The sequence below is a fragment of the Homo sapiens genome, chromosome 6, assembly GCF_000001405.40.
Source record: "Homo sapiens chromosome 6, GRCh38.p14 Primary Assembly".
NCBI classification, from domain to species: domain Eukaryota; kingdom Metazoa; phylum Chordata; class Mammalia; order Primates; family Hominidae; genus Homo; species Homo sapiens.
This window is the reverse complement of record NC_000006.12, coordinates 41068097-41083730: the sequence shown is the minus strand read 5'-3', so window position 1 is coordinate 41083730 and position 15634 is coordinate 41068097. Positions and strand designations below refer to the sequence as shown.

General features: G+C 42.1%; 2 protein-coding genes across 16 annotated transcripts in view, besides 4 other annotated features; one reads left to right on the top strand and one right to left on the bottom strand.

Annotated features, from left to right (window-relative positions):
- The window catches only part of NFYA (nuclear transcription factor Y subunit alpha), a 29430-nt gene extending 18673 nt beyond the window's left edge, over positions 1–10757 (bottom strand). Inside the window, exons 1-3 of one of the 2 annotated variants that reach the window (NM_002505.5) lie at positions 10647–10757; positions 4567–4702; positions 2834–2920 (exon numbers count right to left, since the gene is read on the bottom strand). In NM_002505.5, coding sequence (NP_002496.1) covers positions 2834–2920; positions 4567–4641 — 162 coding nt within the window. In that variant the 5' untranslated portion in view covers positions 4642–4702; positions 10647–10757. The remainder of the gene's footprint in view (positions 1–2833; positions 2921–4566; positions 4703–10646) is intronic. The other variant, NM_021705.4, reaches the window with a different exon arrangement.
- The window catches only part of OARD1 (O-acyl-ADP-ribose deacylase 1), a 33016-nt gene that overhangs the window by 14057 nt on the left and 3325 nt on the right, over positions 1–15634 (top strand). The window contains exons 2-7 of one of the 14 annotated variants that reach the window (NM_001329684.2): positions 8033–8254; positions 8382–8464; positions 12056–12135; positions 12455–12599; positions 13597–13655; positions 14778–14890. In NM_001329684.2, coding sequence (NP_001316613.1) covers positions 12097–12135; positions 12455–12599; positions 13597–13655; positions 14778–14890 — 356 coding nt within the window. In that variant the 5' untranslated portion in view covers positions 8033–8254; positions 8382–8464; positions 12056–12096. Of the gene's footprint in view, positions 1–8032; positions 8255–8381; positions 8465–11116; positions 11496–11890; positions 12231–12454; positions 12600–13596; positions 13656–14777; positions 14891–15634 lie in introns of those variants that run through there. The other 13 variants (NM_001329685.1, NM_145063.4, NM_001329686.2 and 10 more) reach the window with 13 other exon arrangements.
- Positions 9867–10026: a silencer, noted in NCBI's record as "silent region_17173". NCBI's record gives its function as "represses an Ori minimal core promoter by ATAC-STARR-seq in GM12878 lymphoblastoid cells {active_cell/tissue: GM12878}" and the evidence as "EXISTENCE:reporter gene assay evidence [ECO:0000049][PMID:35858748]".
- Positions 10057–10686: a silencer, noted in NCBI's record as "silent region_17172". NCBI's record gives its function as "represses an Ori minimal core promoter by ATAC-STARR-seq in GM12878 lymphoblastoid cells {active_cell/tissue: GM12878}" and the evidence as "EXISTENCE:reporter gene assay evidence [ECO:0000049][PMID:35858748]".
- Positions 11067–11116: an enhancer, noted in NCBI's record as "active region_24501". NCBI's record gives its function as "activates an Ori minimal core promoter by ATAC-STARR-seq in GM12878 lymphoblastoid cells {active_cell/tissue: GM12878}" and the evidence as "EXISTENCE:reporter gene assay evidence [ECO:0000049][PMID:35858748]".
- Positions 11147–11356: an enhancer, noted in NCBI's record as "active region_24500". NCBI's record gives its function as "activates an Ori minimal core promoter by ATAC-STARR-seq in GM12878 lymphoblastoid cells {active_cell/tissue: GM12878}" and the evidence as "EXISTENCE:reporter gene assay evidence [ECO:0000049][PMID:35858748]".

The following is a 15634-nucleotide window of genomic DNA, read 5'->3' as shown; positions in this document are numbered from 1 at the left end:
TAGTTGCCTGTTTAAACCAATCCAGGAATGGTCTGTAGTGAAGGCTGGAGAGAAGGCAATGAGAGGGAAAGGTGATGGTGGTGATGGTGGTTGAGTACAAATTCTAAATAAAGTGAAGAAGGTAAATCAAACTGTACCCAGCAATGACTCTAGGAGGCTGGGTAGCAAGCAGCTCTGGAAGCTTATGTAGAGGATGACCCTTTTTTCCCTACAGTCTCTCAAGCTAAAATGAAATGTCAAATGTATACCTTTATCCTGCTCATTTTACTCTGTGAATTCTAGATATGTTTGTTGTTTAAACTCACTACTAAAGATTTCTTAAAAGCACTTTCTGGTCAGTTTGCAGTCTCCATGGTGGAATTCCTCACTGGCCTCTATAATATCCACATGGTTATTTTAGCTTTATCAGAAGCAACAACAAATATTGAAATTACACAGAGCAGTCAAGTGTACAAATTTCAAGCTCCTATGAGTAAACAGACTACTGTAGGAGCCAGGTCACTACAAGTGCTCTGTCACATCTTAAGTCCCAATACAAAAATACCTAATAGAATGCTTTCTGGAAGCACTTTAAAAGTGCTTTAGAAGTAAACTGTAATGATCCATGGAATAGTCCAAAATTTTCATTTTCAGACTCTATCTTTGACAGAAATTACTTAGAACAGAATATTCATGACTGAAATATTCACACTTAATGAAAGTATGTGCAAGTAACAGCAATTAGTTAACAGATCATTCTGTCCTAGATGAGTAGGTTAGATAGTAAGGTCCTCCTACAATCACCACCACCACCGCCGCCACTGCCACCACCACTAATGTATTAGAATCACCAGGAACATTGAAATCCTAAGTTTTGTTAAACTGTCCATTGAGAACCTTTACTTTACTTTTTTAAGGACTTTACAGCCTGACTCTCTCATGCTATCTCTTTCCCTTATTTCCCCATTCCAAATCAAATCCCCTTTGCTACACCAAATGCTTGCATATTCTGTATCAAGAAAGATTTCTCAGAATACATATAGCAAGAATAACCAAAATAACTATTTAAAATTCTCCCAAAATAATCAGATCCCTAGAGGAAAGGTTTCTATTATTTCCATAAAGTGTTTCCACTTCTTTTAAATAAAATCTATGTAAGTAGGAAACACAAGTTTTAAGATACAGCTATTAATAATTTTCTATCTATTCATCATCTTAATTTCCTCCCCAATTGATGTGCTATTCGTGCACATGATAAATGATTTGAGACTCCAAAGAGCTCACTGTATTTACAACAGAAAAATGTTACAAAGACACATGCATCAAACAAGAAGCCATACAGTTAAGAGCATGTTACATTCCTATTCCACAAGGGGTTAATGACAATCCAAAATACTGTTTTATATATGAGTAAGATGAAGCAAGCATGAAAAACATTAACAAGCTGTTGGACTGTGAGATTTGAACACAATTTTGGAATGCCTACAAGCTCAGTTTCTTTCGGCTTAATTTATGTTCAAAGTTGGCTGTACATCATTACCAAACACTATTGGTGGCAGGGGTAGGGGTGGGATTGAAAGGATAAAGTGATGACAATAAGAGGTAGTTATCTGCTGGATGCTTAGCAGCACTAGCAATAAAGTGAGATGCCAGTTCTACATTCTAGATTCTACTTTGAATCATTTCTAATTCAATGGAGGGAAAAAGTAGGGTACCCAAATCTTGCCAATTTCTCAAAAATAGAGTTATTTTAATAAAAGTAACCTACATACACAGAGTAGACTAGTGCTGCTACTCCTGTGTTTTATAGGAACTGGCCAAATTAGAACCCAATTTAGGATACTTAGCCATACACGATGCTAAAGAACTGTATTGATTAACCAAGAATTATCACAGTGGCTTTAACACCTAAGACTTACAGAAAGCACATCCTGCTTCTGCCTAACCAAGAGGTATCTGGGGTAATCTTTGCAGATCTAGTAATAAGACAGGTCACTATTCCCCCAGGAAAGGTAGTGGAAACAATAGCAGTTAACAAGAGATTAACAAGATTCAGTGCTTAGATAAACCTTGCCAAGTGCAATGATTATTTTTCAGTTGAGTTGCCCCTTGAATAAAAATAAAGCACAGCCTAGCCTAGTTTATGTGTGTCTGTATATGTATATATTTCCTTCTCCATTGTAACACAAATACACAAAATTTTTACCATGCAATTAATTGGATCAGAGTGTGAGCCCTGAATAAATTCTTTTTTTTTTTTTTGAGACGGAGTCTCGCTCTGTCACCCAGGCTGGAGTGCAGTGGCGCAATCTCTGCTCACTGCAAGCTCTGCCTCCTGGGTTCACGCCATTCTCCTGCTCCAGCCTCCCAAGTAGCTGGGACTACAGGTGCCCGCCACCATGCCCGGCTAATTTTTTTGTATTTTTAGTAGAGACAGGGTTTCACCATGTTTGCCAGGATGGTCTCGATCTCCTGACCTCGTGATCCGCCTGCCTCGGCCTCCCAAAGTGCTGGGATTACAGGCGTGAGCCACCGCGCCCGGCCGAGCCCTGAATAAATTCTAATGTCACTTATAAGAATTTCTTCCTGTCACTTATACCATTTCTTTTCCAGGCATTCTCAAAGAAACATGCTAGTCAAATCCAATTCTCAGAAAGTTGATACGGGGTCTCTATATGACTTGGCATGAAATATTAGGAAACTGGCATCTTATAAGCCTCAAAGACAAGTTAGCAGCATCAAAGACATGCAACTGACTTTGCCATTCCTACTGGAGATCCTAACACAAACAGCACCAGACATGAGGAGAGGAGAAGTTCATGCAGTGCTCACAGAGAATCAGAGAGGGTACCACTACCTGGAGGGTCTGGACTTGCTGGCCTGAGGCGGATGCCACCTGGGCCTCAGTCTGCAACTGCACAGCAGTGACACCACCCTGCTGCTGAGAACAGGAACAGGAAGAGCTTGAAATATGTCAGGAAGGAAATGTGTAGTTCAAGACACAGATCACCTTACCTCTTGGAGGAGAGAGACGGAAGCCTGAAGGACTTTCAAAATGTACAGACTCCCTATATTGAAGCTGTTTTGTTGAAGGTAGTAGGATTAAAGATATTAGCCCTTTGTCTCCAGAGTGGACCTCAAAAATTTGACTCAAAAACTCAAAACAGTTGTCATCATTAACACAAAGATTTGTAATGCAATCTTTCCCTCCAGAAACAGGAATCTGACACTTCTACTTACACAATTGTTTAATGCCCTTTTTATCTCCTCAGATGAGTTCACAAGAAAAAAATGATTAGGTTTTAATAGCCCTGAAACTACCATAAAAAATTCTGGGCTTAAATGCAATCACCAAGAAAGGAGGAGTAATTAATCACTATGAACCGAAATCATCTTCATGACGTCAATGCTCTCATGTCCCAAAACTAAGATTCTTTTTTTTTTAAACTTTATTTATGTACTTATTTTGAGATGGGGTCTTGCTGTTTTGCCCAGGCTGGTCTTGAATTCCTGGGCTTAAGCCAACCTTCCTGTCTCAGCCTCCAGAGTAGCTGGGATTACAGGCATGCAGCACCATGCCCAGCTTCAAAACTAAGATTATTTCTACCCAACTGGACTGCTTTAAGAGCCATGTTTTCAATGATTCAACCTTATTTTTACATCCACTAATGGCAAATTCTGAAAGAATAAAAACCCACCCTCCAGGGCACTGGTGTGAATGGAGGGCCCTTTGTGGAATCCCTTCCTCTAAAAAGGCAGTTGAAGGAAACTGCCAGAGCCACAGCAGCTGTATGGAAGGGAAAGCTATCAGGGGAGTTCGTCTTTGATCATTAGACGGGAAAAACTCATCATCAATACTACCTTTCCCTTCCCTACTACTTTTCTATATTAGCTAAATTCCATTTTGAAAACAAAGTATTTCCAAAATATCAATCTTGGCCTAAGGTCAAATAGAAACATAATACATTTTTTTCTTCTGGGGTGGGGAAAAAAGTGAAATTTTACTATAATAAACCCAAGCATAAAGCATCAGAAAATGTAACCTGTGTATAAATTCAAGAAAGCAATCTATTAATTAGGAATAAACCAGCAGCAGGGAATTCCTTTCTAGTATGTCTTATCCATAAGAATGGCTGTCTAAATATTATCCTAATGTTAAACCAGAGCTTTTCTGAATAAAAAATGTGGCAGACCAAATCAAAAAACAGAAGATTTATTGGAAGCTATGTTGGTTTGTCTGTTGTGGCCAAAGACTTACTAAATCACAAGTTAGCTCAAACAAGAAGAGAAAAAGACCAAATAGAATCCAGAAAAATTTTAAAGTCCAAATTTCCATCTGAAAACCAGACTAGATGTTTTTACTTAAAATGAGATAAAAGAGGCAATTTACTATAACCAGGCACCCATGAAGAGTAGATTCTAAGTGGTCATGGGCTAGACATGGCATTTCAGCACAAGCCATCAGACCCAATATCTCACAAGATCTGGTATCTTTCAAATAATTCCCCAGGGCAATAGACCAACCAATTGAGTGGTGCTGTTATCAGTTTCATTGCTGTAATGTTTAAAGCAGTTTTGCTTCCATACCTGCTGCTGAATCTGTCCTGCCTGGACAACAATCTGCTCTGTCGAACTATTGCTGTTTGCTGTATACTGCTCCATGGTCCCTCCAAGTGAGATTCCTGTCCACTCTGGAGATCCTAGAAGGCTGTGAGGTACACTCCTGTTAGAAAGGTGGGGAAAGAAACTAAAGTGAGATTGTCAATAAAGGCCTTACCAGACAATTAACCTGGATAATTTATCACTGTACTTTATTTGCAAGAAAACAGGATAGGAGAATAGGAAATGCTTATATTCAGTATCATTTTTAACTGGGATTACATGGCACAATCATAACAACATAATGCTATTTTCACGTTTCTAAAATGCTTTCAGTATACTGGCAACCTTACCTTTCAATACTGTCAGAGCAATACTTGCACCTAAGAGATACTCGTTAAGCTACATCACTTTGATACAAGGCATACCTAACACTGATTTTCAGGTTTGCACATATACTTTAGAGAATAAAGCTTCTTTAAGTTGTAACACGTAATTGCTTCCCACCAAACATGTTACTCAGGTCCACTACATATGGTAGGCAAAATTTACCCTTCTCATAGACTTTAAGAGTTGAAGATCCACTTTTAAAAATAAGGATACAATTAGATAAACTGAATGATATCTGAGAACCTTTAATAAAGACTTCATTAAAAAATTAAAATGATATAAGTTAGCAATCGGCAATTCATCTTGGAAATATGGGAGGGAGGACAGATATATAAACAAAAATGTAGATAGGTCTTTCTCTCTGATTTTTCACTAGGCCCTCATAAATTCCAACATCTGAATAATAAAATGACGTGACCTAACTGAGCTGCTCATTATCGTGGCAAAGTACAGTACCACTCTCCATAAATCCACACATGCTGGTGGAATTAATCATTTGCAAGGTGTCTCAATACAGTGTGAAAGAAGAAACCAAAATATGTGCAACTATATGTCCAAGTACTTAGAAAGAAGTGTATTGATATCTAAAATTTACTTTGAAATGCATCAAAAAATGGATGAATGGGTGGAGAAATATCTGGTAAGGCAATTATAGTAAGATGTTAATAGACCCTAACTGGCAGGTATACAGGTGTTTATTTTCAAATTCCTTTGATTTCACTGCACACTTGAAAATTCTTATTTCTAGAATAAGAATTTTGAGAAATTCTTATTTCCCAAATGAATGTTGGAATGTTAGGAAAAATATAACAAAATTTAATCAAAATAAAAATTAATCAACCCCATTACTCATAACCAAAATGGATACAACATAAGAATCTATGAGCCATAAATAACAGGCTATGTCATCACAGCAAGAGGACTTGTGGCCATATGGTTCTCCAAAGCACTGCCCTTGATCTAATGGAATGCTCGCTAGGTAAATTTCTAGCTATAATTTGGATTTACATATAGATTGGCCAACAGGGAGCAAATATAATCAGCAACATGACAAACCGGTTTTCTGATTTTTACACCAGTCTCTTTGGAATTGGTTGACTAAGTCTGCTCCTCAGAGATTCTGGGTATAGAATAGAAAATCAGGTTTTCAGCCAGACTGTGAGTCTGTTAGGGGCACTAACAGGCTTCCCTAAATTCTATCTTGTCTCTAATACACAATACATTTATGGCTATAAACTAATAAAATTAAGGTTATGATGTAAACGAATATATATGATTCCATTTATATAAAATCTCCAAAAGACATCAGTAATCTAGAGACAGAAAATGGATCAGTGGTTCCTTGGGAGTGGAGAATACAGGGAGACAGGAAAGAGGGAGGTTGACTGGCATGGAGCCTTAGGAACATTGTAGGGTGATGAAAATGTTTTATATCTTCATTGTGGTAGCAGTTGCACAGGTGTACAAATTTGTCAAAACTCATCAAAATACACATTTAAAATTATTATACTTTGTTTCTAAAGTATCTCTCAATAAATTGATTTTAAAAAATAAGGATCATGAAAGGAATGTCTTTTAGGTTTCAACGCCTCCCCAACTCCAAATTTCCTTCTTATATGAGATTTTTTCCTTGACTAATATCCAGAAGTTTACATCTTTACAAGACTAAATATAACTTGAAGCACATAATGACTAATATATGTAACGTACAGATTTTCTTCTTAACTAGTTTATTCTGGTAATACAAATGAACCAATTTAGCAATATTTAAATTTATACTTTGAAGAGTATCAAGATTTGAAGAGCAGCTTCAAATCTAGCAGCAATTCTCTCTCACATTAATGACAGAGTGATTTAGCCTGTATCATGATATTGATACTGTTAATGGTTAATGCTATAAGCAACTGGCTTCAGTAAAGTCATATGTTCCTACTACTGTGAGCTTCAGTTAGCAAGACTGCAATACAATTCGATAGTCTTTCCCAAAGTGCCTCTTTGCCCAAGATTATGACAAACTAAGCCAGATTTAGTCTGTCTAGCTCTTGCTCTTAACACAAAGTTTTGAATGGTTTTTCCTCAAAGAGAGAGAAACAAATAATAAGTGTTTATTCTGGCTAGCATGAAAATTCTCTTCCTAGTGCATTCTCTTCTCAGTGCAATTCTCTTTGCCCCACTATTCCAAGGTGCAAAAGCTGAGACTTAGCCAACCACTTACTAGGAACCCATTCTATGTGGACCTACACAAACTCCAAAGCTAAAACCTCTTCAGAAACTCAACTAGTGTAAGCATATGAAAAGCCATAGGATTATCACAGTTGATAATCACTACCAGGCAAAGCCTAGAACAGTAGCTTTTTAACTTTTTTGACCACAACCCTTAGTAAGAAACACATTTCATTATCACAACTCAGTGCACACATGTATAAAGCATGTAACTGAAATGAAAGTTTCATGAAACAGCATTTACCTTTATACAACACAAGATGCACTTTGGTATTTTCTATTCTTTTTTTTCTTTTAAGAGAGGGGGTCTCCCTATGCTACCCAGGCTGGTCTCAAACTCCTGAGCTCAAAGGATTCTCCCACTTCGGCTTCCCAAAGTGCTGGGATTACAGTCGTGAGCCATCATCATGCCTGGCAGATATTTTCTATTCTATTATTTAAAAATTCCCAGCATTGGCTCACTCAATTTCTTTCACAACTCAACAAGTGGGTCCTGATAGACGCTTGATGAAAGACTAGACTACAACAAAGGGCTGTCCAGCTTCCCCATCATCCTACAGATTTCTGGATTGGAGCTTTCTAATGCACTTCTCTCCACTAATTATGTACCATGTGCCAGACACTGTTCTGAAGGTTTTAAAAATAAAAAGAAATCTCTGACGAAGATTCAAACTTCAAAGAGTCTTTAAGTTTAGTAATGGACTAAAAACCTATACTGGAATCCTAAGAGATAAAGTGATATGGGAATTTGGAGGACAGAGATTTGTTCCAGCTGGGGATAAATCAACAAGGCTTAAAAAAAAAAAGGTACTACTTGAACTTTTTTTTTCTTTGCTATCAGAGGCCTGCAGGATGAACTGGTCTTAAGTGTGAGAAAGATTTAGCTATGTGATGATGTGGAGGAAGGTGAAGTACTACAAATCAAGAGAGCATAAAAACAAGAACAGAAATATTTCAGCATGTGAACAGTGGACTAAACAGGAAAAAAAGCTTGGGGCCACACTACTTTCTCTCAAAATGTCAGACAAAGAAATTCTTCTGCAGACTGGTGGAAGCTTGTAAGGTATTTAGCAAAAAAGTTACCAGATTATAATGCCTTTTAGAAAGATGCCAAGCAAAAGTATTTAGTGATTTTGAAGTGACCAGAACATACCTATTTTTAAATACTAAGGTTAAAACATCTATTTCAGGTCAGGACGCAGTGGCTCATGCCTGTAATCCCAACGTTTTGGGAGAACAAGAAGGGAGGATGGCTTGAGCCCAGGAGTTCCAGGTTAGTGAGCTACGATTGCGCCACTGTACTCCAGCCTGGATGACAGAGGAAAGCCCTGTATCCAAAAACAAACAAAAAAACGTTCCAAAGGCAAATATACATGTTTTTTAGACTACTTAAGCTCTATCATCTCATCTGCTAATGCGGATAACGTGACAATCAAATGAATTAAGAAAATCACTTAAGCAACAATGAAAAACTCACCCTAAAAAGTGAAAATAAAACCTGTCCCCGAAGTTTTAGTAATGAAAGAGCACTGGAATACGAGTTTTCTGAAACCTATTAGTTGTATAACATTAAATGTGAATTTAGAAATGGGCACCAGATACTTAAGACCTTTATGTGCCAGGGAATGCACTAGATGATTCACATGAGTAAAAATAATTTTCAGAGTCCTAGGACAAGTCTCCTCTTCATCCCCAAAGAACTCAGCCACTATCACGGGGCAGAACCCATAAACAAGTCAGAAACTCGTTTTTTCAATCTTAGGAAAAAATATAGCTCTAGATCCCTTCTACTTGAACCTCCATACAAAATAATAACTGTTTCCAAAATATTCCTTAGCAAGATATACAAGTATTTTACCAACTGGGCTTTCCCCCCTAAACTATCACAACTACTGCCCACTTCCCTATCCCATCTTCCTGCCTCCAACAGTGTAATTTGATTCCTCTGCACATGCTTTTCTTCTCTTCGAGCAAGCTCTTCCATCTTTCCTGTGGAAGAATTACCATCATTCTTCAAGGCCAGTCAAAAGTGCGGTGGTGATAAGCCTTTCACGGAGGCTAGCTCACGCATGGATACTTCACAGCAACTGAACTTGGCCCCTTTATAGCACTAACCGTTAGGTATTAACTACCTGTTCACCTGTCAATTTCCATCAGGTAGGCACAGTTCTTATTGACCTCTACGTACTCCCTCCCTAACACACGGATTATACCTGGCATATACTAACTGCTGGATAATTGGTTGCCAACAGCAACCTCTCACCCTAAGGAAAACCCCACAACACTGTTAGTTTCTAAACATCTGCTGAGAAAACGTTAACACAGGACTTGAAAGTGTATCAGAAAAACATAAACCAAGAGATGAGTGGACTGGGTCAAGCCTGACACAAAGTAACATAGAAAGGCGAAGGCAAAAACAAAGGGAAAAAAAACCCCCAAAACTGTACTATATTCCCAAGGGAGGGAGATTTCACAAAATGAGCAGTGGATAAGATTAGTAATATGAACAGCAAGTTGTGCAGCCTCCGGAAAGAATGCGCAAGGGTATCAATCTTCTAAGAGTGAGGTTCCAGGCACCGAATGGACTGGTCTTACAGCCCGGACAAGAAACGGAGACCGCTTGGTTGGGCTCCAAGACGGAGGTGTGCGGTCCTGCCACTGCGAACGGGGCGGGGAAGAGAGGAAATGACGAGCCAAAAGGGGTGGTAACGGCGCCGGGCCGGAGACCCGGGCGGAGCGGGCTGGGAGGAGGGGCGCGGCGGAGCAGGGGGAGTGGGCGAACTAACGGCCCCCTCTCCCCACCAGGGAGACAGCGGGGGCGGGCCCATAGGGCTCCGAGGCGTGGGCGGGCCAGCCCCGTTGCCAGCCGCACACGGGACCCCGCGGCCGCGGCGCGCACCCTCCCCAGGCCTCCCTCCCGACCTAGAGGGGCTGCAGATAAGACAGACCCGGCTCGCTGGGAGCGGGGAGCGGGGGGCGCGGGCCCCGGGGAGGCTTCCTGTCCCAAGGGCCGGAGAGTGGAGAGTGCAAGGGCAGGTTTAAGTTTGCGGCCAGAACGACCAGGAGGAAATCGCCGAGGCCCAGGGCGCGCATGTGTCCCCTAGTGTAGGGCCATTCGTGGCCCCAGGCCTGGGGCCTGAGAACCTGGGCCTGAGTCGGGGAACAGGGACGCATTCCCAACTGGCCCTGGCACCCTGCGAGGGTCGGAGCCCCGAGGTGCCTGCTCCCCGAGGCGCCATCCCCGCGCGGGGCGGCCCCTGCAGGCCTCGGCCGGGAGTGCCCCGAGGCGCTCGCAGGCCCCGGGCCGGGGCCGCTGGCCGCCCGGCTCGGCTAGGCTCAGCTCGACTCCCCGGGCTCGACGGGCGCCTGGGCCTCTCCTGAGTGGTCAGCGAGACCCGCCAATCGGGGCGCTGGGGCCGGCTCTGGGCCGCTGGATATTGGCTCCTCACACTCACCGTGCCTCGCTCCCCCGGTTCGCTGCCCGCGCTGATTGGCTCCAGTACCGGACTCCGAAACCCAATCAGAGGCTCCAGCCGCCGCTGCCGCCGCCACTGCCGCTGCCTAGCAAAATGGCGAACCCGAACAAAGGGGAATCGGGCCTCCCTCCAACCGCCTCCGCGCAGGCGCCTCTGAGGCCACGCCCACTAACTCCAGTTCAGGGATCGCCCCACCCCTTCGGAGGAGCAACGCGCAGGCGTTCCCTGAAGCCACGCCCACCTTCCCGCTTTGACACCACCCCCAGTGAAAGGAATACGCAGGCGCTTTCCAGACGCGCCAGACCCTTCAACTCAAAACGCTGCCTTGAGCTTAGTACTACGCAGGCGCTAACTAGCCCCTTTGCCAGCTGCCCACCCCTTTCCAAGTGGCCACTAGGACACACCCCTGCGGCTAATGCGCAAGCGCCACTTTTCCCGACTCGTGGGGCAGTTTCGTTACGCATGCGCGGGCGGCGGCGGGAAACCACGGAATTTACTGCCGGAAGTTCGGCGGCCTTCGCCAAAGAGTGTGGGCTCGGCTAGCAAGCTAGAGGGGCTCGTTTCCGCCCCGCTACCGGGCGGGGGCGGCCATCTTAGATGCGTGCAATTAAGGGCTTTGGCGGGATTGGCTCCGCGTTTGGGCTGGTCCGCTGCTCCCCACCTACCAGGGTCGGATCCGGAGCCCTTCCCCGCGGGGCGGGGACCTCCAAACAACCGACTCCTTTCCAGGTGAAGGGTGACTTGGGTACGTTGGGGCTTTGAGCGAGCCTCCCCGCACCCTCCCATAGGACCCCAGGACAGACTGCGTCCTCGCTGACCCGCCCTAGGGTAGGAGACAGAGAATGGGAGGCTTCAATAGACTCTTTCCTTCTCCCACGCACCCCCCAAAAAAGTGGGGGGTGAACGTTCCTTGAGAGGCCGCCTTCCTTTCCCCACGCCTGGGGCTCAGCACGCCAGTACCCTGTACACTCTGTGGTTGCGGCTTAACGGGACTGTGGCCAAGTCCCTTCTGTTTTCTTCTAAGCCAGACCCACTGGGGAAATACTTTTGCGTCGTGCAGAGAAAAGGAGACCGTCCTAAATCGGCCTTGCTCCGGAGTGGCCCTGGAGAAAGGAGGAGGCGTGTCTTAGGGATGGGCTTTGCTTCCGCTGACGGAGCGGGGCGCTCCAGGAAAGCACGAAATGAGAGCGGGTCGAGACAGCCTCCGAACCTAAGCGTTCTTCCTCTTTGCCCCAGAAGGGTTTTGTATTACGTCCCAGGGGCCGAACAAACTCACATTCATCGATAAACGTTGGGGAAAAAAGCCTATTAAGTGGTTGTACAGGGCAATCAGAATATTATATACTAAGGCTGCCTAAGCATTTTTACTTCCTTTTCCCTTCTCATAGCTGAAGAAACACTTAAATTCTGGAAATAGCGACTCAGTATCATGGCCAGCAGCCTTAATGAAGATCCAGAAGGAAGCAGAGTGCGTAACAACTATTGACTTATTGGTGAACTGAAATTCGTAATAATGGAGGTCAAAAGCATAAACACTTTTTAATTAAATTAATGATTGCATTATCTTTTTTTCTCTCTAGCTGATTTACTTTAAAAAGGCTCAAAATTCTAGGCAGGGATCATCCATTACTTTCCTTTTACACATGCTGTAATTGGTTTGGCTTTAAATCAGATTGGAGGAAGGGGTGCCGGGAGAGGTAGTCGTGGGGGACACAAAATACAGAAAAATAGCTTAGTATTTTACTGTATCTAATAAAACATTGTCTTTTCCTTTGCACATTTTTTAGATCACTTATGTGAAAGGAGACCTTTTTGCATGCCCGAAAACAGACTCTTTAGCCCACTGTATCAGTGAGGATTGTCGCATGGGCGCTGGGATAGCTGTCCTCTTTAAGAAGAAATTTGGAGGGGTGCAAGAACTTTTAAATCAACGTGAGTTTTGGAAACCACTTACCTGGTTTGCCCTGGCTAGAGCACCTTTTAATCTGTTACACTTTAATAAAATATGCGTGTAAAGAGGGGATTCCTAAGAACCAAATGTTTTTAAGATTTTCCTCCCCAAGAATGGCCTCTAGTTTAGACGTTTACCATATCAAAACCCAACTCCTGTGAAGGTTTTTAATCTCTTCCTCTTGTATCATGAAACTTTCTTGACGATATTACTGTACTTCTCTGAAACTTGAAATAACTCTGAGATGCTTAGTCTATAGGTTGGCATTCAAGATCCTTTACTTACCAATATTCTGCTTTCTCTTCAAAGAGGAATTTAGAAACCTCTTCTTCCTTACAGACCCCTCCCATCACTTTCTACGGGCCACTTTAAACCAGAAATGTGCACTAGAATCCTATGTAAAGCTTCTGCAACAGTTTCTCCGACCACATTCCAGGCTTAACAGCATCAGTGTCCACAGTGATTCTTAGCCTTAGACAAAAGCAATTCTTACTGCTTTGTATTATAGTTATTTGGAATGATGATATCTTCTCTGGATTGAAAACTCTGTAATAATTAATTCCTTTTTTATATATCTGTATTCCTCATAATGCCTTATACAGCTCTTTGTATGTAAAAAGATAATTATTGAGTAAATACACATTTGGCAAGTAAAAAACTACACACTATAAAACAATTTCAAGGCAATAGAGAAAGTTTGTGGACAAATGAGGATATATTTAAAAGTAGTAGTGGTACAAAAGATGGGTTGTGAGGAAACATGACTGTAAGAAAGCTGTTAAGTTAAGGAATATAGTATTTGGGAATGCTGATAAAAAGCAAAGTGTTTGTGGGAGACAATAGGTCTTCCCTATTCCCTTCTTCAGTGTTGAAAATTCTAGTTCTGAGGTAAACTCAGATCTGTAAACATTTTAAAATCTTTAGAGATCAGTGTTTGGTTTTCTTTTTCATTTCTACTATTAAATAACTTTTTCTTAGAAAAGAAATCTGGAGAAGTGGCTGTTCTGAAGAGAGATGGGCGATATATATATTACTTGGTAAGATGGGGCCAATTCCTTTTTTTTTCAGGGCCAGTTCTTAATACATTTTAAGGATTTGTGAACAGATGGGCTGCACTGCATTTGTGTTGATCATGATGTTCTATTCTAGACAACTAAGAATGTCAAAAAGCTTCCTATCTTATGACAACTCCAGTCCAGTGATGGCGGCTACTTGGAGCACTGGGTTAGAAAGAAATGTGAGGCTGCATCCCAGCTCTGTGGGAAAGTCGTGTATCATGTACCATAGGCCTGTTCTAAGACTTGCAAAAGTTAGGAATGCCTGCCATACTATATTTCCTAGGCAGAGTGAGATAAAAACAATAATGTCTCAAGAGACAGATTTCCCAAAGGAGCTTTTCTCTTATTCCATGTCAAATAGCACACTGATAGCAAGGGGGTGAATAAAAACAAAAAATAATAAGTGCAGTCCCAAATAATACTTAGCTCCTCTCCTAACTACTGCCTGAATGTGGGGTTCTTCAACAGTCCAGGATGGCATTTGGTCCCTGAAAGGGTGTGGCTTCCTTAGTGGTGGTGGTGGGTAGCTTACAGCTAACCCACTACAAGCCTGATCTGGATGACAAACTGAGTGGGGAGATGTCCTAGCCCCTTTGAATTCTGTCCTTAAAGCTTATGTGGCTTCCAGTGGTTTTACTTTGGGACCCTACCAGTTTTTTCTGTTGTTTTATGTAGAGAGACAAAAAGCAAGCAAGCACAGTTTCTAAATAAGTAGAGGCTTTTAGCAGGGAATTTTCAGGTGGTATGCTTTCTTCCCTGTTAGAGATATGCAGCTTATCTCTTGGAAGTGGCACAGAGACTTCACCTACCTTGCTTAAAAATATTGACAATAGGCATCATCTGCTAATCTCATGGGTTTCCTAGGAAAAGGAAAGATTGCTACGTGGCAGAGTCTGGGTTTCTCAGCCTCTATTTAGTGGATTTTCTTGAAGGTCTCCCATAACAGTGTGGAAAGGGCAATATGACATTTGTCATCCTTGCTCTAGACTAATTCTATAAAAATGTGCTTACTCTTTTAATTATTGGGATGTTGGGGGAATGTGATGACTTTTCTTTGGCTATCATTTTGGGATGATGAAAGTTTGAATCCTTTGTGTTCAGATTACAAAGAAAAGGGCTTCGCACAAGCCAACTTATGAAAACTTACAGAAGAGTTTAGAGGCAATGAAGTCTCATTGTCTGAAGAATGGAGTCACTGACCTCTCCATGCCCAGGCAAGGAAATCCATGGTCCTAAATGGAGATTTAATTGATTGGTGGGGTTTACTATCTTACCCAAAGACAAACAACTTAAAAGCTTAACCCAAAATATAGATTTAAAGGTGGACAAAAGTCAAAATTTTGTAAAACCACCAGTGAACCAGTTGTCTGGCTTTAGACTAAGGCACAGCCATTTTCTAGCTTGAGTTGAATGAATCAGGACAATTACCTTGAAATATACATCTGCCTCAGCCTGCTTAGCAGAGAGCGACCATTGTCATTCAGCTACATTTGTTGAATTCTCAGCACCCTCTGCTTGAAGCTTGGCCTTTATTCCTAAAGCAATGTAAGCTAAAGAATCAAGACTGAGCAATGGTGGTTTTCCTCTTGGACCACTTCCCATCTCCCAAACCTATTACTTTGCGTCAAGAAAGTTGTAAATTATCATTCCCTTTTATACTGCACACTTGTTTTGGTCAGTATGGGTAATAGCCAGAGGATCTGTCCCTGATGTAACTTCTTAGACTTTAGCTATTGGGAATTTAGGGAATGACATTGAGGGTTCAGTAGTCCCTTTGCTTTCTTTTCAGGAAATGGGCCTCACCTCTTTTCTTCCTGTCACCCTGGTAGTTTTGAGTCAATGCTGAGCATACATGCAGTTTTATCTTGCGCCCCACATTACTTTGCATATGGCCTCAAATGTCCCTTATTTTACACTGGTCTTTGATATATTTATGGTGTACATACATATCAGAAACT